Source organism: Homo sapiens, chromosome 5, assembly GCF_000001405.40.
Source record: "Homo sapiens chromosome 5, GRCh38.p14 Primary Assembly".
NCBI classification, from domain to species: Eukaryota; Metazoa; Chordata; class Mammalia; order Primates; family Hominidae; genus Homo; species Homo sapiens.
In genome coordinates, this window is record NC_000005.10 from 137,209,250 (window position 1) to 137,232,372 (window position 23,123).

Genomic DNA, 23,123 nt, shown 5'->3' on the forward strand with positions numbered 1-23,123 from the left:
TGTTTTTACTATCTCCTATCTCCAAAATATATTTTCTGTTGGGTAATTCGAAGCTATTAAGGCTGCCAAAACCCTAAATAACCAGGCCATGTCAGAGCCAGCATCGCATGACCTGCATGCTATAAATGAATTGCTTGTAAGCGCAAGTAGATGTGGAGGTAGTTTGATTTTGCTCTGATATGACTCAAACTAATAGAAACACCGTAAATATCCTTCCCAAAGTTGGAAGCAGGCAGCATTACCATTGGCAGTAAATGTGAAACCATTTTCATAATAATTTGTTGAGCCAAGAACCTCGAGAGTGGCTTCTGTGACAGATGAGAAGTCACTGGGTTTGACTAAATCAGACTAACCACATATTACTAGACAGTACTCTGCCTCCATTATGGCCCTCCTGAGAATTCGGTCTCAGCGTCAGTCAAATCAGGACAAAACAAGAACCCAACCCTTTCGCCTAACAATGGCCAGGAAAGTTACATTATATTAGAAGGTAGAAAATTGATTCATACAGTCAATTAGCATGTGGTTACTGCGATCAAGTTTTAAAAGAGGCACACAATATGCTTGGTATACAAATATAAAACCACAGGAAGTGCAGAGAAAAATAAACTTTCTCAAACACCAAAGGTAATAAATCCATATTTATGCTCTTGGGCATTAAGACTCAAGTACTTTCAGTGCTCTCAATGTTCCACCATAGTCTTTTCAAACTTGTGTATTTGCCAACACAACTAGATTTGATATTGATTTTTTGTTACAAAGCCAGAACTGCAAGATCTTGGGACCAAATGTAAGATCCAGAGTGGTCCCTTCTTCTCCTTGCATTTCCAATTCTATAAAATTTCAGGGTGACACTTCACCCTGTTATACATAGGACAATTGAGCAAAGTGATGAGGAGATGTCAGTTGTATAATATCAGCTAAATGAGTTTCAATTTCATTCCATGCTCTGTCAGCTTCCCTTCTTCTTGCACACCCTCCCTCTTCTATAGAACAGGAAAAAGAAACTGGGCCAAGTTTTACGTGAATTCATCTCAAAGAAACACTGAAAATGCCACCTAAAGAAGCAGAGAACTTCCTTGCTTTCTTAATATTTTCCAGGCTAGAACTGGATACATTATTTATCTAGGGAACCCTTAAGGCAATATCACATCTTAGTCTTTGGAGAACTAAGAATGAATACACAAAAACATGTGCACTTGTTTTTGAAATGCTTTAGAATAATCGGTTTTATTTCAGAGTCATTTCATTCCATTATTTAAAAGCCTCCTACCAATCCTTTTTATTAACTCAAGAAGGTTCAGGAGAGACATAATAAAAGGCACATTTGTAATACAGGTCAGATACACGGTCTGGGACTAGGGGGCATCTGGAGAGGTGAAGGTGAGCCTTTTCCAGTAAGTCATCATTGTGAGTCCCAGAGCTGTCATTCTCTAGATAACCCAGTCACCAGGCAAGGCACACAGGGGCAGCTGGGATGGAGGTGAAGGTTTGCCCAGTGCTCCACTGCACAGCTCTCATCTTCTAATTCTGTTATTTGTATTCTCCCTAGTCCGGCTTTATGCCAGTTAGGGAAGAGAGATATCTAGACCCAAAATTGTCAGTAAACTTGGCCGCATGACATCACTGGAGTCCAGGGGCTCAATTCTAAGGTTGTTCATTCCCCCAGTACTCTGTCCAAAAGCCAATCAGCTATAATTCTCTGTAATGAGCCAAAACAATATGGAAACACAGTTGTCATTCTCAGCAGCCAACACACCAGCAGCAGAGAGACAAGCTGGGGTCATAACTCAGCCCTTCGTATACCTGATGCCCAAAGAGAAAGAAGACTGAGAATGATAGTTCTAAGAGAAACCTCCGAAGCCCCCATCTAATGCTATTTCTTTGAAGATGAAGAAACAGAGGTCCAGGGAGGTAAAGAAACACAGTTCCACAGTCTAGCTCCTACTATCCTGGATCCCATTGGTGCATAGGAGTTAAGAGCAGGATCTTCAGAGTCAAATAGATCTCAGATTTCTACCACAGCTACCCACTAGCTGTGTGACCTTGAGCAAGTCTTTAAGTACCTGTGAGGCTTAGGTCCTACAACTACAAAATACAGGGCACCTACCTCAATAGGGATGTTACTGTGATATTGTGAAAGAAGAAGTACATATTTGGTCTCGGCCCCTGGTTTCTGAGACAAAGCTCCTAAAACTCTTATGGATAAGGGTATAGAAAGATTCTATAGATACAGAATGTTTTGTTCTACTATTTGGTCTTTGACCCTGGCTTCTAGCAGGCAGTTCCTAAAACCCTTGGAATCTCTGGAGTGATGAGTGTCTTTTGTACGCTAATGAGTTGACTGGCAGTTGGGGGCCCCAAGATAGCTTCAAGATGGGGACTGGTCACCAGAAAGACCAAGGAATGAATAGAGGGTTGGGACTTTCAGTCCCACCCCAACCTCTCGGCTGGAGAGAAGGGCTGCAGGTTGAGTTGATCACCAATGGCCAATGATGTGATCAATCACGCCTATGTAATGGAGCTTCCATAAAACCCACAAAAGCAGGGTTCAGAGAACTTTTGGATTGTTGAACACAATCCAAAAGGGTGGTGCACCCCAAGAGGACATGGAAGCCCCGCCCCCTGCCACACACCTTGTCCTATGCATCTCCTTACCTGGCTGTTCATCTGTACCCTTTGTAATATCCTGTATAATAAATGGGTAAATGAGAGTAAAGTGGTTCCCTGAGTTCCATGAGCAGGTTTAGCAAATTAATCAAAGCTGAGAAGAGGGTTATGGGAACCCCAATTTATAGCCAATCAGTCAGAAGCACAGATCACAGCCTGGGGCTTATGACTGGCATCCGAAGGGGGGTCCATCTTGTGAGAGTGAGCCCTTAACCTGTGGGATCCAATGGCAACTCCAGGTAGACAGTGACAGAATTAAGTTAAACTGTAGGACATCCAGTTAGTGTCTGCTGGAGAATCAGGTGTTGGTGGGGAGAAATCCTCACATATTGTGGTGACTAAAGGTGAGTTATTCTGTATTGAGTGTGTTGAGTGTGTTGAGAGTAGAGAGAAAAAACAGGGCTTTTTTTTTAATGCTTCAGACTAAAAATCAGGGACAATCAAAGTGTTTCACCCAGTGTCTGGCAAATAATAAGTTTGCAATATATTGCAACTAATACGTGAATGATGGTGCAATTTCTTAGAATCCCTTTAAACCATAATTCTTTCCAGATTAGTTTTATTAATTCAACAAACATAAGCTGAATATGTACTATGTGTCAGGCACTGTGGATTCTTCTGGACAGAAGCAGACAGCAGGAATTGTGCATCAACTTTGGCCTGATTTGCCTGCATAGTGCCTGATTAACAATCTTATCTTGGTCAGGTGAGAAGCCCATATGGTTACTTTTTTAGTCCATGACTGACCTAGAGGCCCTGGGCCAAAGGCAAGGAGACTTAGTCCTTTCAAAATGCATTTCCAGAATTTCCTAAATTTGTATTTTGTGTGTTGCCAGATTGCTTTACCCTGAAGCTGAGCTTCCTTGCAGTAGACAATGTCAGAGGCTCACTTCTTGCACGTGGATAACAGCCTCAAGCGGTTGGCTGGACAAAGACGCTGCACAGTCTATTGAAATAGAAAACTGGGGAGAGTAGGGTAAACATAACCCCAAGCTTAGCCTCTGACCTCCCAGACTCAAGCTGCTGCTGACCAGGGGGCAGGTGCTCAGCCAGGTCTAGGGGAGGTCAAGGCCATGAGTCTTGGTTTCAATGCACTGCAGAGGCCTCTGCAAATCACTGTGGATCCTTTCAGGAAGGAGAAAGCCCAATGCAGCAGCTGGAGACCATAAAAGGTGATAATCTGGGGCATAGTCATGGGTTTCATTCTTGATGAGGGGGAAAAGAGTGGAGAAATCAAGTGAAATCATCCACCCCAGCACCACTGTAGTCATATCTACCCTTTACTGAGCACTTGCTTTCAGAGTGCACATGTTCATTACAACTATCCCCATTTACTCAGGAGGAATCTGAGGCTTAGAGAGGATAAGCAACTAACCCGAGGTCACATAACAAGTAAGTGCAGAAACAGACTTCACACCCAGGAAGTCTCATAGATTCTGCACACTGACTATACTGACAACAACACTATCAAGAACTCATATTTTTAGACTTGATGAGCCAAGCTCTGTGCAGAGCAATTATATTCTCTCATTTTACGCCATCAAACCTCTATCAAGCAAGTGCCATTGTTATCCCCATTTTACAGAAGAAGAAACAAACTCAAGTCACATTACACAAGTGGGTGACAAGGCCAGGGTCTACCTCTAACCACCACGCTCGCAAGAGCACTAGATTAGGAATCAGGAGACCTGGTTCTAGTACTGTCTTCACCACTCAATGACCACATGCTCCAAACTAATTCAGTATGTTGATGAGCCTCTAGTTCCCCATCTGTAAAATAGGGGAACAATACCTCCTTCTTGGAGTTTGAGTGAGACTCCAATAGAAGGGTGCAGCACACACACACCTGGGAGAATGGTTATTACTGTGATGATAATGACCTTCCTCCCATCTGGGGTTGCTGTTGTATACAGCAAGGCCCTGGAACCAAATCTTGCCCTGGTCTCATCATTTTAATTCATTGTACTCTTGAAGCAAGAACAGTGTCAACAGAAGTACTGCCAACAACAACAACAAAACCAATGTGCATCTGTTCGTGTCTGCATTTAATTTATACCAACACTAGGAAACTTAGACCAAAGAAAACTGCAACCAAAACTCAAGTGCAACGGCCTTTGTCATTATAATATTCCTTAATACTTAGCATTATACCTAGCCCAGGGTCGAACACATAATAAGAGTGAAAATATTTCCAAATGACAGTAAATAGTTAACAAAATTACTATTACTTACTGCTATGAACCAGACATTGTATTATCTCAACTTATCTCCCCAACCTATAAAAAAGAGATTATTTTTATTTCTATTTTACAAAGGAAAAAAACTGAAGCTTGGAGGGGAGATATATGTTGGCCAAAGTCACAGAGCTGGCAAGTGGTGCAGCCAGAATTGAAACCCAAGTTTGTCTGAATCAAATACAGAGCCCACCTCCCTAGAGTACCAATGCCAAGGCACAATAAAAAACATCCAGACACCAGAAAGTGATGTCACTTCTACAAGGCTGAATCCCCCCTTACAGAAGCATGTGGCTCCATCATTCATTTAGAAAGAAAGGATCATGTTTATCTGCTTCACCAGTATTTCTCTACAGCCAAGCAGACTTGTGGCACATTGCAATCACTCAACAACAACGATGTCAGATGACTGATTGAATAAGCATGTATCAGTAGCTGTGGTCTATACCTTCAAACCAATTGGGATAAATAATAAGACAAAGGCATGAAAAGATAAACAGAAACAATACCTCACATACCAAGTGCTAGTGTCAGGATACAAATGAGAAGAGATAAGGGGGAATGAGCAAGAGATAGTGGGGCCTGACGTGGTCAGGAAACTATATTTGAGCTGAATTTTAAAGAAAGTACCTGAATGAGTAGAGATGACATGAGGCAGAATTTATAGTATATCAAATCATGATCAGTTTGCTGTAGAAATATTCCACTCCTATGCATATTTTTTAATTCACAAGTCCTACCCCCAATTTTTTAAAGTAAAAGCTCAATGTAACCATTACAAGGGAAAAGTTAATATTTACTCCTTAATTGGGTGCAGACCAAAGGCATACCATGTCCTAAGCATACACACACACACTGTGACTCAATAAATGAAAGATAAAGTCTTGCCCACAAAAGATACTGGATAAATATTGGCTAGTGTGGGTGGGTAGGTGGCAGGGTCTGTAATTTCAATGGGAGAAAACAATATTTCTGAACACTTACTATGTGCCAAGAACCAAACTTTCTATAGGTTTTCACATCTAAGACATATGAGAAGGATGTTTTTACCTCTATAGAAAACAGGTATATTCCTTCCAAATTAATGTTAAGAACCTGGTTTTCACCCAGGCAATGAGGTGAAATGTCTTCCAGGCAGCCTCACCCACTTGGTGAAATCACCCTGTATACAGGTCTGGCCTTCAGACCAGGAAAGGAAGAACTGTGCTCTGCAGGGTCCCTATGGTCAGATTTTTCCCTCCCACCTAGAGAAGACTTACATCAACTAAGCTTTGAGGGACAAGAGGAAAAGCCACAGCACCAAAATGTCTCGTCTTCAATGAGAATTAGAACAGTTGTGATGACAGTACCTTCCTGGAATGTAAATTTTACTGGATGATAATTTTACACATTTTTTATACCAAAATAAACACAGATATGTTAAGAAGTAGAATTCCAAATGTGTATGAGTTTTTAAGATGAAACCTAAGACTTCAAAGAAATTTAAGGTTTATGAAAGATTGCTTCAGGCCATACTCCCAAACCTCCCAGCAATAGGGTTCATGTTCCCCTACCATGAGCAGTTTGTGGTAGAAAGTTTTGGTGAAGCTCTGAGTTTGTCAATTTTTGTAGATTCAGGAACCACAAGGTATCCTCAGGATAACTGCACATTTTTGATCTGATGCATAACGGTTCATTTCAGAGGTTAATCCTCAGATTCTATGCCAGTTAAAGTTCTTAGGAACACATAACTACCTATTCTAGAGACAAAGAAACTAGTGTTTAAAGAGATCAGTGGCTGGCCCAAGGTCAAACTGTGGCAGAACTGCGGTTCAATCCAGGTTCAAAGTCAAAGCCTGGCCCCTCTTTTACAGAAGCAAATGATCCAGGGGGCATACCAAATGTCCAATGAAAGGATGGCTCATCATGTAATGCTCCCTATGACATGAGTTCTGAAGAGAGTAAGGATGATCAGGCAATCCATGGCATGGCAGGGAAAGGGGGCACTGAGGTAGACCCTAAATGACAGGAGGGACTCAGACAGAATGGGTGACACATTCAGCAGGTGAAGGCTGTCTTGAGGAGGGGTCTCAAGATAATCAAATGAGATGCTTGTATATGGCCCTGCAGAGCTTTGGGCACAAAGAAAGCATGCAAGAAACATTAGCTGTTATGGCTCATTCAGTTCAACATCCAGACATTTATAAAATACTCACCCAGGGCAGCCATTATGCTAGTGATAGCAAATACAAATTGTATAATATAGCAATGTTTCTTTCAAGGATCATAACAGTAAGGCCGGGTGCAGTGGCTCATGCCTGTAATCCCGGCACTTTCGGAGGCCAAGGCGGGTGGATCACTTGAGGTCAGGAGTTCAAGACCAGCCTGGCCAATGTTGTAAAACCCCATCTCTACTGAAAATACAAAAATTAGCCAGGTGTGGTGGTGCATGCCTGGAGTCCCAGATACTCAGGAGCCTGAGGTAGGGGAATCACTCAAACCAGGGAGGCAGAGACTGCAGTGAGCCAAGATCACACCACTGCACTGCAGCCTGGGTGATAGAGGAAGACTTCGTCTAAAAAAAAAGGGCTCATGCAATATGTTAGTAAAATAAGCAAGTATGAAATAAGAGCAAGGGAGATTAAAACACCACCCAACTCTACCTGGAGGAATCAGGGGTCGGGGGTGTGTTGTGAAACCATCACTCGGAAAGGCATAAAAGAGGTGATCTTTTGGCTGACTTTCAGGATAAGTAGGAAATCACAATGGAAAGAAGTGGCCAAAAGGCAAGGTTTTAAAATAGGCATAAGGCAGGAATTAGGAGGCTTGAGGACAAGGAGAGGAGCCCAGAGGCAGGAGGTGGGTTAGGAGGCAAGTTTCTGAAGGCCTAGGTTGGGAGAAGGGAGTGGAGAGCTCAGACTTGACACTGGGAACAGAGAACAAGACAGGGAGGCCCATGAGAAGCCACAAGGAATCAAGATAAACCAACAAAGACAACAAAACTCAGTTGACTGAAGAATTTCATTCATGTACTGGAGTCTCTTTTCAAACATAATGAATAAATAAACATGCTCCCAGTGACAAAGCAGCACTTTGCTTCTATCTAAATCACTCCCCAGAGCCCGTGGTTGTAGGAGCACTGAGAGAGCACCATCTCATCCAGCATTAACTCCTCTTCTTGCAGAGGCCCCTGTGCTGGGCAGCACTAAGCCAAGGGGAAAGAGACAGAGTTCAAGAATGTGCTGGAGTCTGAGAACAGGCCCCACTTTGCCTTGCCTCCACCCAGGGACACTGGACTAGAGCCTCCCCCACCACAGCCTCCGTTTCCCATCTGTAAAACATGGACTCTGCGATTGCTTCCAGCTCAAATGCTCTGATTCTAAAGATGGGATTTCCTCTTCAGGGATGGGATGTAACACGCCTCTGTGCTGCTTAGAGGTTGTCATCTACATCCAAATGTCGGTATCACACTGTGGTTTGAAATAAAAAACTGCTTGGCAAAGTCAGCCACTGTTACTGAAGTAAGTACTCACTGTACTTCTTATATTAGTAAGAACAGCTTGATAACATTTTTACTGATCATCTACTATGCAAAGTACTTAAAACGCCTGACTCAGTCATAGCAATCTTTTGTGGTAAGGACTACAACACTCTCCTTTTACTGATGAGGAAATTACAGCTCCGAGAAGCTAAGTAATGTATCCAAGGTATCGTGGTTAATAAGTGACAAGCGGGAATAGAAATCAGGCTGTGTGGCTCCAACCCTACTCCTATCCATTATACTGCACTATCTTACTTACCCAACCTTACCGCATCTATATTTCTACATAGGTATAGATGGTTAGAAGGAGAAGGAGAAGGAGATTTGGCAAGACCCAGCTCAGGATTGCCAACACTCACCCTTTCCTCCCCTAAGGCAGACATGGCTAATCAATTACAGAATTCTTCCCCACTGACTTGTGACCACAAATCCATTTCTGACTAATCAGAGTTCAAGATGAAGCTCGATCCTTTATCTTCATCTCTGGGATAATGGAATCCCATCAGAGGGGTGTAATTTGTTTAAGGAAGCACAGCTTGTTAGTGACAGGGTTGGAAGTAGAATCTTGGTCTCTTGACTTTCGGTCTAATGGGTTGATGGTAAGATCTCCCTATGCAAAGGACAGTGCCTTTTCTAACTGACCAGAGAGAAATAATAGAAGGTATACCAAAGATGACCACATCATCAGGTGCCAGAGGAGACTGCTCTAAATACAGCCCTAACACATGGTTCTTGGACATTGCAAGTTATCCAATTAATGACAACTGTAAAACAGCATTCCTGCTTTGTTCTGATTGAAATGAACAATTTGTAAAGCTGAGAAATTAACTTCCTTTCAAGGTAACAAATATTTGAAGTTGGAATCCCAGAAAACTTGTGAATTAAGCAAAAGAACAACAATGCCACTTATTTAATCCTTCTGGAAAGACTAGATTTTATTCACGCTTTGCTGGGAAAATTGACAAGTTGTATGACTCAGCTACATCAAACAAATGAGCCACTGGTCTCATTCCTGAGACACAGCAGAAGCAAGCTGCCAGAATTGAGTCCTATAGTAGCTAGTCAGATTCTTCCCCTACATTTAAGGTGTACAACAAGCACAGGTGGTCCCAAACCTGCCCAAGGAGGAGCTCCTTCTCATCAGACCACCATACCAGACAATACCACCAAAGGTAACTAGCTGCCAGGTACCTGGGCAGAGGCGGCATGGTGATATGAAAGAAAATCATCAACAAGGAAAAAAGCAGTGCCCAGGCTGGCTCCAAGCAGGCTGAAGTGGGACAGACAAAATGCAGGGTCCCCACCAAGGCACTCCTTTGTTGTAAGACCTGCAAGGGGGAACCTTAAGGAGGCATATGAGAAGAAACCTGTTTTATACAAAGCTCTCTTCCCTAGGATCTCACCTGGAATCTCTCCAAATAGATGACGGCTGCCAAATCTGCACACAGGAAATGCTAGCATCACCCTCTTAATTTGTCTAGTAGCCTTTTACACAAATACACTGTGTTCTTTGTGTGAACCTGAATTAATGATGCTAAGATGACAAAAATCACTCATTTAAAATTATTTGCAGAGTGGTAAGTAAGCAGGATTCTGGCAGTGGGTGTCAAAAGATCCTTTCATTAAATGTTAACTCTTCCTTGTGAGAGGTGGAGTTCAGTGGAGGCAGAGGGATTGGAAAAAGTAAGAGTATCCCAACACTTAGCAGGTCCTGCCCTGGGGAAAGCCAGACATCTCCGCTGCTAGAATGGGCCTAATGAGCCAGGAATTGGCATTGCTGCAAATATGTTTCTTTATAAAAGGGGATTCATTATTCCAGGACTCGCATTTCTGAATTCATGAAGGTAAAATTACAGCAATTAAGAATCATGCCTTTTTTTCTCCAAATGAATAGAAGCTCAAAATACCACCAAACAAAACTCCAGGTCAAATTTCATGAGAAAGTATACCTTATTGCCAGAAAACACACAGATGTGTGAAGAAACAATAACTGGCATAGTGCCTTTGCCCAATGTTCTAGAGCTCATCATGATCAAAGTATTCACTGAACATATGTCTGTCCAGGCTGTGTTGAGTGCTTAGGAAGCTGAGGTCTTGGCCCTGGCTGGGCCCCTAGTCTACTTCACTGAAGATAACCTAGGTGGCTATTTTTCCTGGAGAGACATGATGATTTTATAGGGCCTCCATGGTGTCTTTTAGAGCTGCTTTGCCTCCTTAGAGTGAGCAGGTCCTGAAGAAGTAATTAGAAAATGTGAACCTTTCTAGAGCCATGGCCTTCAGGATTCTCTTGATCTAGTCTCTAAGCCCTGGGCAACCCATCCAGTACTCCATCTGCCCCAGAAGTAGATTCTGAAAGAATAGCCCAGGGTATCTAGACACCATGCCCTCCATCTAGTGGGGGTCAGTTGCATCTCCTGACCCAGGAGGGTGGTGTTTCTAGATAGAGCAACAAGAACCCATGTTTCAGAGGGAGGAAGATGGGGAGCACAGAGACAGAGCAGTGCAGAACAAAATCAAATGACCTCAAAATCATGTCCTCCACATCCCATATTGACAACTCCTCATTTCCAAAAGCACCATTTTGGTTAAATCTGTGGAAAAAGAAAACAACCTTCTCTCATTTTGGGGGGCATGTACATAACTAATCCTTTCACTTGAGTCGCCCTGCCTGGCAGTGCCCCCCAGGATGCATTTTGAGTCACTCTCTATAGCACCTGGCTGTGAAGCCATGAATGGATCATCATTTTCTAAGTATTATCACACGCAAGGAACTGTACTTTACATGGATTTAGATTACTTAATCCTCAAAGAGCCCTGTGAGGTTGTTTGTATTTTACCCCACTTTATAGAGGAACAAACCACATCACATAGGATGTAATAATTTGGCCCACATCACCCAGGTCTGACTCCTGAGTCTAGTCTCCTAACCACTATGAACTCCACTGCCCTCTAGTGTAATTGTTGGGTTTCTCTAAACAGTGAGGACACTAAGGACAAGGACTGAGTCACAGTCATCTGTTTCGTCAGCACCTTAGATAGGAATCACTGCTCAGCAGGCACTGAGCAAATGGTCACTAAGAGGCTGTGTCAGCGAATAGGTAGGTGAGTGAGTGAATAAGTGAAGGTTGCTAGTCTCCATACTGAATCCTCAGCCTTTCTCGGGCACACACATGGTTCCAGAGCAGAAAATGTTAACATTCTAAAGAAAGTCTAGTGAAAAAGTCCCCCAACTTTTATTAAGATGTGTGACTTTATATCCATGTTTTCAAAGCATCTTTGCAATTATTCTTAGAATCACTCATTTAACACTCCAGCACAGTAAGCCAACAGCCACAGAAACGTGGCCAGCAGAAATATATCTGCTTAAATAGGTGTGTCTCACTTTGAGAAAAACTGGAATATAAAAACCCAAATATCTATGTAGAAACATAAATGGGGGAGGCATTCCAATTTTAAAAGGATTCACAAGTTTCCTCTAAATAGCCTGTTGCCTTGGAAATTTCCATTTTAAATGTCTGATTTTGGCACCTTCCAAAAATTCCATCTTTTAAATGTCTGTCCATCCTAAGGTAAATGACCAATGAGTTATAGTTACTAAGAAAAGCACATGGCTTCATGTTATAAAAGTCCAGGCCCATTTCAGAAACTGCCATGTGCATCCAGCTGCAAAAAAGCACTCGAAGAGACAGCACTCCTAACCCCCCTAAAATGAAAATTATTACAAGGCAATATATATGACACACAGAGGTCTTGTTTCAAGGAATCTGTCCCAACAAAGCAAATAAAAAATTCAACAGATCTATATGTTATGAGGGTGGTTGCCTCATCTCCGGGTGTCGAAAACAGCATGAAATTCCTAATAACCGAGACCTTTACACAACATCTTCGATGAGATATTTTCAGTTTCAGTCAATGACTGAGATGACAATAGATTCCAATTTTAGGAACTTAACTGTATTATTACAGCCATGAGGGTCCAAATATCAGAACCATTCATTATGATATGTGTTTAGACTGTAACTAAGTTCATTTTCTTGGCATGAATATTCATTATTTTTCTTTAATTGTTAAAATAAAAGTAAGTGTGAATGTCAATCTTCTCTTCCAAGAAAATTAGCATCTGAAATATTTCTGTGGAGAAACAAGGCAATAATGAAAATGATGAATGAATACTTCTCCTTCTGGGAATGTACACAACCAGTTATTCCTCCCACAGCATCTCAGGGAAGCAGCGCCCACCCTCCACAGGGCTCAGGCACTGGGTTTGTTTCTGTCTGATGAGAAAGCCTTGATCAGACTCCATCTGAAAAGGTCTTCCTGGTATCTGGCTTCTTTAACACACCAATTGTCATGCTTTTATTACTATTCCCATCACAGAGGACAGCATGAAGCCTCGAGTTTTCTTGTTTTATTTAAGGTACTCAAAACTCTGGCTTTTATCATGTCACATACATACGCCATCAGGAGAGAGGACAAAGCAGCTGCAGAGTATCAAGGGATCTAAAAACACACAGGCTGCCTGGGCAAATCCAGAGTACACTAAGAAGATCTGTTTAAGTGCTTCTATTTGATTCCCGCCCCCACTTCAGAGTAGGTGGGGGGAACCTCTCTTTGGGTAAGGCCAAGCAAAATACTCTCAGGGGCTCTGTCACCAAACAGTTCAGTTTCAGTATCAGAGCTTAAGTGGGAACAAAGGCTAACACCAGTAGCTAATAAGAGCATTTAGTAAATTTGTACATTTGCTTTCTGTGTATACATAGATCATCAGGGATAATTATCTATAGGTTTAAATAAGACCCTCAATTAAAGCATTACCTCTCCTGGATAATCAGACTCTTAAAAGAAGAGCACAGATTTAATACAACTATAAGAGGGAGACCCCCTTCACATATCTGTCAAGTGGTTAGCCAACATTTGTTTGGCCTCTACTGAAAAAGAAAAAAAGACAATGAAATTCTAAAAACAGGTGCTTGAAAACAGCAAGCACATCATTTATGTGTGGGTTTAATCACTTTCATGAAGACAGACATCCTAGGTAAGTCAAATTCATTCAACACAAATTAATTGAGCACCTACTGTGCTCCATGTACTCCTTTTGACACTAGGTCTGGAATGTGCTTTCTCAAAGGGGGCCACACTGTCCCTCAAGGGAGTGAAAACTGGTTTTTGAGGGATGAAAACAAAATCTTACACTTCTTTTTACATATAAAGCACAGATAGACAAATAGCATCTAAACAGATACACAGTATATTGGTGGCTTTAAATTTCAGAAAGGGGAGAGGCAATTAGGAAAAAAAAATTTAAGTCTTCTTAGGGAAGTGATAATGAAAAAAACTGTTGAGACACGCTGATCTAGAATGGCAAAACTCCCTACTCTTACGGAGCTAATAGTCTACCAGTGACATACAGATGATAAACAAGTATCCATGCTATGGCAAAAATAAAGCAGGGAAAGGAGATAACAACTGGGCAGGAAGAGACTGAGGATGGAGACAGGAACAGACCACCATTTCCATCAATTAATTTGTCACTTTTCTCCCAATCATGATATGAGAAAAATGAACTTTTGATGACAAATTAAAGGGGTAGCCCCTATAATCCAAGGCAGCCCTGTACATAATGTGCTATAACATGAAAAAAAAAAAAAGTAAAAAGCATGACAATGAAACAACAGGTGTAGCTATGGGGGATTGTCTGTTCTCTACGTATTAAAAACAGCATGAAATTCCTAATAACTCAGCTTTTGAAATATCATCTTAGATGACACATTTTCAGCACTTCATTTGTGCCCTTTATTTTCCTCTTTCCTCACAATTGACTACGTAGTTGGCTGTCTTAATTCCAGGGACCATCCATCTGAGACTAATGATTCACCATTTGGGGCCTGCTTAATGACTCCCAATGTTATCTCCACATTTGTGAGACCCAGGTTTCAACACATATTTTCAACAATGAGATGAAATTATTCTCATTTTATCACATGTTGATAAAATAATGAGCAAAAACATGTTCTAAATGTTCAAAAAATTGCTCAAACATGTAAGGTTGTACAAGCAAAGGTGATGGTCTTGCCAAAAACATGAACCGTTAGCTGACATGCCCTGCCAGAGTTCAGAATGTCTGCCTACTCAGGAACATCTGAAAAAAAAATATAAAGCTAGTGGACAAAAGGGTCATTTGTGGGCATCAGTTCATAATGTACAAAATAAAGTTTATGAAAAAGTTAAATCTGAAAAAGTTGGAATCACCTTAGTGCACGCACCTACTAAATAATAAGAGAATGGTTAAGAGTCATTTCTTGAAGTTTATTCCTGAGGTCTTTTTCCCCTAACTAATGATGCCAGAGAGATTCCAATTTCCTGCAACACTCTAACATTATAACAGATGCTAAACAAACTTACTCTCCAAGGGAGAGGCTGGTTCTTTGGAAAGAGGAACAGCATAGCTCAGCACTGTTTGTTAAGTTCAGTCTCCCTGTAGCTTTGCCACAACTTTTCTACAGGGAAATTAACAAGAAAAGCTCTCAGCTTAATATATTATTGGAACTTGGCTACAAGCTTATTAGGAAAGAGAAATCATAGGGAAATGCAGTCCATCACTGGATGTCTCCAATATAAATCTGGAAAATGGTGAGATGCTGAACAGACAGAGGACTGCTTGCCATGTAGGCAGGGTATACACATACATTGTGACTTAATTTACATTTATTCCTTGGAGTAAGTGACATGCTTTCAAGGTACAGACTCCAAAGTTGGGGTCCATAAGGAGAAAACAGCCAAACAGAAATCCTTAAAGAATGTTAGCTGGGAAAGGAAACGGGTGTAAAATCAAAATGGCAGTTCATACCTAATTCCCAAAGTACCTACCTACATGCAGCTTTCAGAACCAGGGAGAAACTTGAAAAAGCATCACCGATCAACCTGAAAGTAGCAAGCTGAAGTTCAGAAGCTGACTCTATTGAGCTTAATAAAACAGAAACCTCATACACACGGCTTCATGAAGGTGTCTAAGCCTCTGCCAGATTCATCTTCCCAGTTAAATAAAATTGTTACTTCTAACTGTTTAATAACAAGAAGAAACTCCCCAGGGAGACCCGCAGGCAGCATGGGAGCCTTGTCCTTCTCACAGGCTGCTGCAATGACCTGGGAAGACAATTAGCCAGGCTCCTCCCACACTCCAGGTCTATGTTTTAATGGCTTCAATCACAGGGGGCTGGAAGCACAGGCCCGGCCCAATTTAATAGGCAGTCATTCACTTGTGGTACATTTCAAGTGTAAAATAGCTCACTTCATTTTCTTGGTTCCTGTTTATGCTTCTAAAGTTACTCTTGGAGAGAAGATTAAGTACCGTTCTCCCCAAAAGCATGAAAGCCCTTCATGTTCAATCTCTTTGCAGGGCTGTATATTGAAACACGTCCACCAAGCCAGCCCAAGAGCCGCACACAGGAAACCCAGGTGATCCTGAAATCGGCCATCCCCAGAAAAGCCAGTATACAAGCAGAGAATGACAAGAATTAGACTTCAGTGGCCAAGTGCAGAACTGGGCTCAGTTTCCATCTCTACCATTTTCTGGTTGGATGATCTTGAGAGAGTTAGTTAACTGCTCTGAGCCTCACTTTTATTATAAAATGGAGACAGTAAATGCAACTACCTCATAGAGGTTACTGTAGAAATAAAATAGGATAATGTCTACAATGCTTGGCAAAGTGACTGTCACACAGTACCCACACAAAATTGTTAGCTATTGTCATAAACATCTTCATTAGGTACTAACGAGTATTAAAGAACTTTCAAGTTTCACTCAGCCCCTACTCAGGTGTTACCTACAACTATTTCCCTGCACAGAACCTTCCCTAAATGGATCAAACATGTTCACCCATACTCAAACACAAACTTAGACCTTCCGCACTCTCAAATGCTAGGGCATGCCACACGATGCCTCGACATACACACTTGATGTAGCAGTGGTTCTCCACTTGAGCATCCTTTAGAATCACCTGGAAGGCTTGGGAAAACACAGGTTTCTGGCTCTATCATCAGAAGTACTGATTCAGCATGTCTAAGGTGGAGCTGCAAAATTTGCATGTCTAATACTGCTGGTACAGGGATCACATTTTGAGGACAACTGTGCCAAAGAAAGGAGAAAGACAAGCCAACTTCAAGAACTGAGAAAGGAATATGTGGAAACAAAAGCCTTTTGTGAGAAGCTCAGAACCAAAAGAAGTCTAGCCCTCAAGGACACTAGGTCTCCCCCCAGAGAGCACCAGAAATGGTGCGGGCAGCCTTCTTCCCACTTGGAGCACGCCTCACCAGGCTCCTGGATCTTGGACTGTTGGGCTGACCCAAGGCCACAGCTCAACAGGGACATCCAGACCCAACCTAAATCCTGAAAAGAGATGGGGTTTTTGACACAAGACTATCAGTGGGCTGCACACCATCCTGCTCAATTATCATCTCTTCCTCCTCTGTGTTAAAGCAATTCTGCAGCACAGTGATTCTTCACAGGGAGATTGATGGGCATCTTTCATGCTAATTCATTCCTGGAGTTGGGAAGCCTTTATTTTCCTCATGACATGAAGAAAACGATGGCAGACATTTCCAGTAGAAATGCCACTGCATTCTTTATAATGTCATTCAGCTGCTGCCAGAATTAAACTATTGACCAAACTAATCTGTTTAACACCCACGTTGTGGCTTGATCTCCTTGCCCCGAGGGGTGAAGCATCATGCTGCAAAGGCATCCACATTTATTCTCAGTAAGTGATGCTGGATTGCAAAGTGCCATGCATACAGGCTGGGTTTTTAATGCCATGGAAGCCCCACAGAGGCCACCTCATCCTCCACTGTGCTTTACCCACTTCAAACCATCCCCTACCTCCTTGAGGGTTAGATCCAAACCCCTCAATATGGCTGATGAGGCCCATATGACCAGACTTTCATTTTCACAGCTTCCAGTCTCCTCTGGTCTCACTCTCTACACCCTAGGGAACCCCTACCCGTAGGCTCAGGACTTGCCCATCTCTGGGCCTTTGCATAGGTTGTTCCCTCTGCGTGGAAGATGGCCCTCCCCTGCTTTCTCTAGATGTTTAATTTCTACTTGTCCTTTATCCAGTTTAAGTATAACTACCGTGTGCCCTGTAGTATCTTATACCTCACATGTTATAGTAATCATGTTGCTGATAATTATTTGTATTCAGATTATAAGCTTTGTGAGGCCAAGATCCATATCTAATAAAGTACCTAATAAAAAATGTGATGTAACAGGTGCTCAAGAAATATTTATAAATGAATGCATGGATAGCTAGCTCTGACAACTCCCTCTTTCAAAGCCTTCCTCTGTTATCCATCTGCAAAATGAGGAATTTTGACTGAGGATTTCTAACAAGGGATTTGTGACAAGGGGACAAAACAGGGGTTCCAGAGAAGCTGCAAGAAATGAAGTTCAAAGCATGCAGGGAATCAGAAGACCCTACTCCAGGACCTTTCTGTCTTTTGTGAACTACAGTACTTTTCCCTTAGCTTCAAGGCAGTGGAGAAGGATGCTTAATGGCAATACTCCTCAAAGCATGGACCCTGAAATCCTGGGGTTCCAAGAAAGTGCCTCAACATCTATTGTAGAAAGCAAGGAGTAGGCCAGTCTTAGAAACTGTACCTTAATCCATTTGAGGTACTACGTTCTAGGTGAGAGTTCATTTGCAAGAAAAGTAGACTTTGCTGCTTACAAAAAAGAAATTTGAAAGCAAGAGCAGAATTGGTCACTGACTTAGGATTTAAAGTACATCATCATCAGAGGGTCATGAAATCCTGACAATCCTCTGGCTCTGGTATGCTCGAAACAGATAAGAGTCTTTGAGCATTTGGCATCTCTTGCCCAACTCACTACCAGGCATTGAGAATTGCAAAGGAGCCTAAAAGCCTTCTACTCTGGTGAAAAGAACAAAGCTTCCTACACAGCAAGGTCTATAGAGTAAGGAAACAGGGAATAACCCAAACTCAATAACTCTCTTAGAAGAAAGGTCACAGCTTCAGATCAGACCCTGGGGCTTTGCAAACAAAGATGAGGGCAAGTTATCGTAGGAGCAAAGGGAACAGCCAACAGTGCCAATAACTCCAGATACAGACCACCAATGCAGATTTGTGCCATAAGCTTGTACCTCTTAGACCCTTCCCTCCTCTGAATCTTTCTTGTCCTATTTCTTGGGGCCTCATGTGAGGCAGATACATCTATGAAGAGGAACCACAAAACTCTGTGATCTGGACATTTCCTCATCCATATCCAATGCAGAAAAAGTATAAATACCCTTTCTTTAATAAAGCTAATCAGCCCAAATATGCAACAATGAGTAAACCAAACCTGTTTTCTTTTCTTTGCATTTTCTCCTCTTCATTTATCTGCAAACAGGAATACAGGGCTTTCTGACCAATGCCAGTTGATCTGAGCATCCCTGAATGACTTAAGCCCCAGGACTCATACATGATACATGGCTGGTACAACTGCAGAGATGGCTTCAGCCAACATGAATGACCAAGGAGGCTGTCATTGTACACAGTTTGTAAAGATGGCTCCCAGGCCACAGGGCAAGCCTTAACCATCCAAGTGAGACTTCAGACTGAACACAGAAGTGAATCACAAAACGACTTCTTTCCAGGACCCACCCAATATGAGACTTAAAAAACTAATCATCAGCCAGATGCAGCAGCTCATGCCTGTAATGCTAGCACTTTGGGAGGCTGAGGTGGGTGGATCACTTGAGGCCAGGAATTCGAGACCAGCCTGGCCAACATGGTGAAACTCCATCTCTACTAAAAATACAAAAAATTTAGCTGGGTGTGGTGGTGTGCACCTGTAGTCCCAGTTACTTGCGAGGCTGAGGCATGAGAATCACTTGAACCCAGAAGGCCAAGGTTGCAGTGAGCAGAGATTGGGCCACTGCACACTAGCCTGGGTGACAGAGAATCTGTCTCAAAACAAAAATAAAAACAAAAGAAAACAAAAAAAACCTAATCATCTTCTCAAAATATTGCTTGAATGTTACTCAGGTGGAATTGCAGTACAAAAGTGCAAAATTTTAAAAATCACCTCCAAGAATATTTTAAATATGTTTTGCTGAGGGGCAGAAAGCATGTACAAATATAATATTTTCAGTTTAATTACTACATAGTAGCTCTTACCCAGATAATGGATTTACCTCGGAGCAATGTCAGAATTTAGGAACAATCTAAATATACTTCTGCAATCCCGCATTGGTCTTGATTCATGAATTTGTTAGAACTTACCCTGGGTGGCTTCCAGTAACCAGCCGAGCTCACGCACTGCAAATACAGGCACTGGGAGCAACCTGGGCTGCCCAGTCCAGGCCTTCTTAAATTCTGATTAGGGGAATTTGTGGTCAGACTGCAGCTGCTCCTGGAAAAGCATCATCCCCAGTAGACATACAATGGGAATCTTCAACCTATCTTGACTGGGATACAGCAGGAAACTTACAGACAGAATAAAATGATGAACTTATTTTTGCCTTTCCATTTATAGTTAAGAACAGTAAGATAAAGGGGAGAAAAAAAGAAAATAATGTATATTGATCTTGGCAAAAGTATGAATTGGGACATGTGAATGCATGTGAAGGAAACTCAATGTGAACTAGCTCAGCCAAGGAATACACCTCCCTAGCTCATAAAAACAAACAGCTAAAAGGGGGGCTGGTCTCGAGGATGACTGGTACCAGAGGCTAGTCTAGTACCAGGTCCTAGAGACACCTCTGGTAGCTCTCAGGCCCCCAGTCACTCCTTTTGATCAGGAGACAGACCCTATGGGAAGATGACACTCTCACTTGAATCACAAGATTAGGCAAGAGGAGAGACCCATCTGCTAGAAAGGTGGATGGCTAATGTCTGGTCAGACCAAACAACAGATGTCCATAACAGGGGGCTCAGACGAGAGATGTATTAAGCTAGGAGCAGCCTTGTCACTGTGCTGTAGAGCAGCAGTCCCCAGCCTTTTTGGCACCAGGGACCAGTTCGTGGAAGCAAATTTTTCCACAGACCAGGAGGTGGGGTTGGGGGAAGGGGGTGCACAGAGATGGTTTCAGGATGAAACTGTTCCACCTCAAATCATCAGGCATTAGATTCTCATAAGGAGTGCACAACCTAGGTCCCTCACATGTACAGCTCACAATAGGGTTCGTACTCCTATGAGAATCTAATACCGCAACTGATCTGACAGGAGGCAGAGCTCAGGCAGTAAGGCTCACTCACCCTGCCGCTCACCTCCTGCTGTGCAGCCCATGGGTAGGGGACCCCTGCTGTAGAGTAGTGACAATGAAGGCAGCCTTTGGCCAATGAAGGAAAGGCAATGCAAGACTCGCCCATGCTCCACTCTTAACAAAAGGGGCCAGTCAGAGACAAGATTGGATACTCTGGAAACTAAGCTTGCCCCATCTTTCTTTATATGCAAACATCTTTTGGCAACAACCTAACATAAACTCAGAGCCACTGAGTGCACGTAAGATGCATGCTTGGTTGTAGTCTCTTGGGTAGCTAACTTCTTAAACTTTGTGCAAGAGCCTTGTCTCAAACCAATAGCATCCCTGCAGAAAGACAGACCCAGCCAGTCAGAAAAAGACATTCACACCCAAGGACTTGGGGATTCTCCTTGGAAAGAAAAATCGCCCCATCAGCTTCCTGCAAAATGAATGTTAGAAGGAAACAGCGAGAGCAAAACAAAACACCACAGCCTGGGCTGTCTATTAAAAAGCAAACACTCATAGGTAATGTTTATTTTATTCCTTGTGTTTATTTGGAAATTTTAAACATAAAGAGTCTTTACTACTTCTGTAAGAAGAAAAGTAAAACTTCATTTTAAAAAATATATAGCATCAGAATTAAACTGATATGTATTAAATTATTTCCTATTTATCTATCAACTTTGGGGATAGGAATTTCAGATGTCACATTGTTTAGTCCTTTTCTATATCCTTTTCTGAAAATATTATAATAGGACCTGTTTGATCATTTTGAATACTTTCAAAATATATTAAACCTGATCACATCACATCATATCTTTTTATTGAATTTTTTTGTTGAGATCATTGTGGATTCATATGCAGTTGTAAGAAATAATCCAGAGACATTCCATTTTCCTTTACCCAACCTCCCCAGAAAGTGACTTCTTACAAAACATTCCATTTTCCTTTACCCAACCTCCCCAGAAAGTGACTTCTTACAAAACTAAGTATAACTGTATTTGCACTATTTGTGTATGTGTGTGTATGTATGCCTAGTTCCACAAAATTCCATCACATGTATACCTTCCTGTATCCACTACCATGGTCAAATACAAAACAGTTCCATCACCACAAGGATCCCTGGTGTTACCCCCTTTTTTTTTTTTGAGATGGAGTTTCACTCTTGTCCCCCAGGCTGGAGTATAATGGCATGATCTTGGCTCACTGTAACCTCCACCTTCCCGGGTTCAAGTGATCCTCCTGCCTCAGCCTCCTGAGTAGCTGAGATTATAGGCATGCGCCACCACAACCAGCTAATTTTTGTATTTTTAGTAGAGGCAGGGTTTCACCATGTTGGCCAGGCTGGTCTCGAACTCCTGTCCTCAGGTGATGGAGACCCACTTCAGCCTCCCAAAGTGCTGGGATTATAGGCGTGAGCCACCGCACCCGGCTGGTGTCACCCTTTTATAACCCACCCACCTTCCTGCTGACCCTGCCCCCTTGTTCCCCTACTATCCCTAACCCCTGGCAACTATCAATCTTTTCTCCATTTCTAAAATGTGGGCATTTCAAAAATATTATATAATTATACAGTCTAACATTTTGGGGACTGACTTTTTTCACTCAGCAAAATTTCCTGAAGATTCACCCAGGATGTTGCATGTATCAGCAGTGCATTCCTTTATTATTGCAAAGTACTATTCCATGGTATGGATATGCTACAGCTGGTTTAACCACTCACTCACTGAAGGCCCTCTGGCCTGATTCCAGATTGTAGCTATTGTAAATAAAGCTGCTAATAAACACTCATGTGCAGGTTCTTACATGAACATACATTTTCATTTCTCTGGGATAAATGCTCAAGAGTGCAATTGCTGCCCTGTATGGTACTAGCATTCCACAGTGACTATGTCACTTTACATTCCCACCAGGAACACAGGAGTTATTCAGTTTCTCCACAACCTTGCCAGCATTGGGTGTTGCCACTATTTTTCACTTTAGCCATTCTGTTAGGTGTCTAGTGATATCCCACTGTTACACTTTAACTTGCATTTCCCTGATGATGGTGAACATCATTTCATGTTCTTACATGCCATCTGTATATATTCTCCTTGGTGAATGTCTCTTCATATCTTTTACTCATTTCAGATTGGCTTGTTTTTTCACTCTTGAGTTTTAAGAGTTCTTTACATATTCTCAACACTTGCCACCTGTAAGATATGTGATTTGCAAATATTTTCCAGTCTAGTTTGTCTTTTCACTTCTTAACAGAGTTTTTCACCCTTTTTTAAAAATTTTTTAATAAGCCCAGTTTACCAAACTTTCCTCTTATGAATCAGGTTTTTGGTGTCAAGTCTGAATTCTTTGTCTAGGCCTAAATCCTGAAGATTTTTAATGTTTTTTTCCTAAAAGTTGTATAGTTTTAAATTTTACATTTAAGTTCATGATGCATTTTGAGTGAATTTCTGTCTATGGATG

At 42.0% G+C, this 23,123-nt stretch overlaps 1 protein-coding gene across 1 annotated transcript in view, besides 1 other annotated feature; it reads right to left on the reverse strand.

Annotated features, from left to right (window-relative positions):
- SPOCK1 (SPARC (osteonectin), cwcv and kazal like domains proteoglycan 1) overlaps positions 1-23,123 on the reverse strand; it is a 524,029-nt gene that overhangs the window by 233,952 nt on the left and 266,954 nt on the right. The gene's annotated exons all lie outside the window — the stretch shown is intronic.
- Positions 11,349-11,498: a silencer, noted in NCBI's record as "silent region_16381". NCBI's record gives its function as "represses an Ori minimal core promoter by ATAC-STARR-seq in GM12878 lymphoblastoid cells {active_cell/tissue: GM12878}" and the evidence as "EXISTENCE:reporter gene assay evidence [ECO:0000049][PMID:35858748]".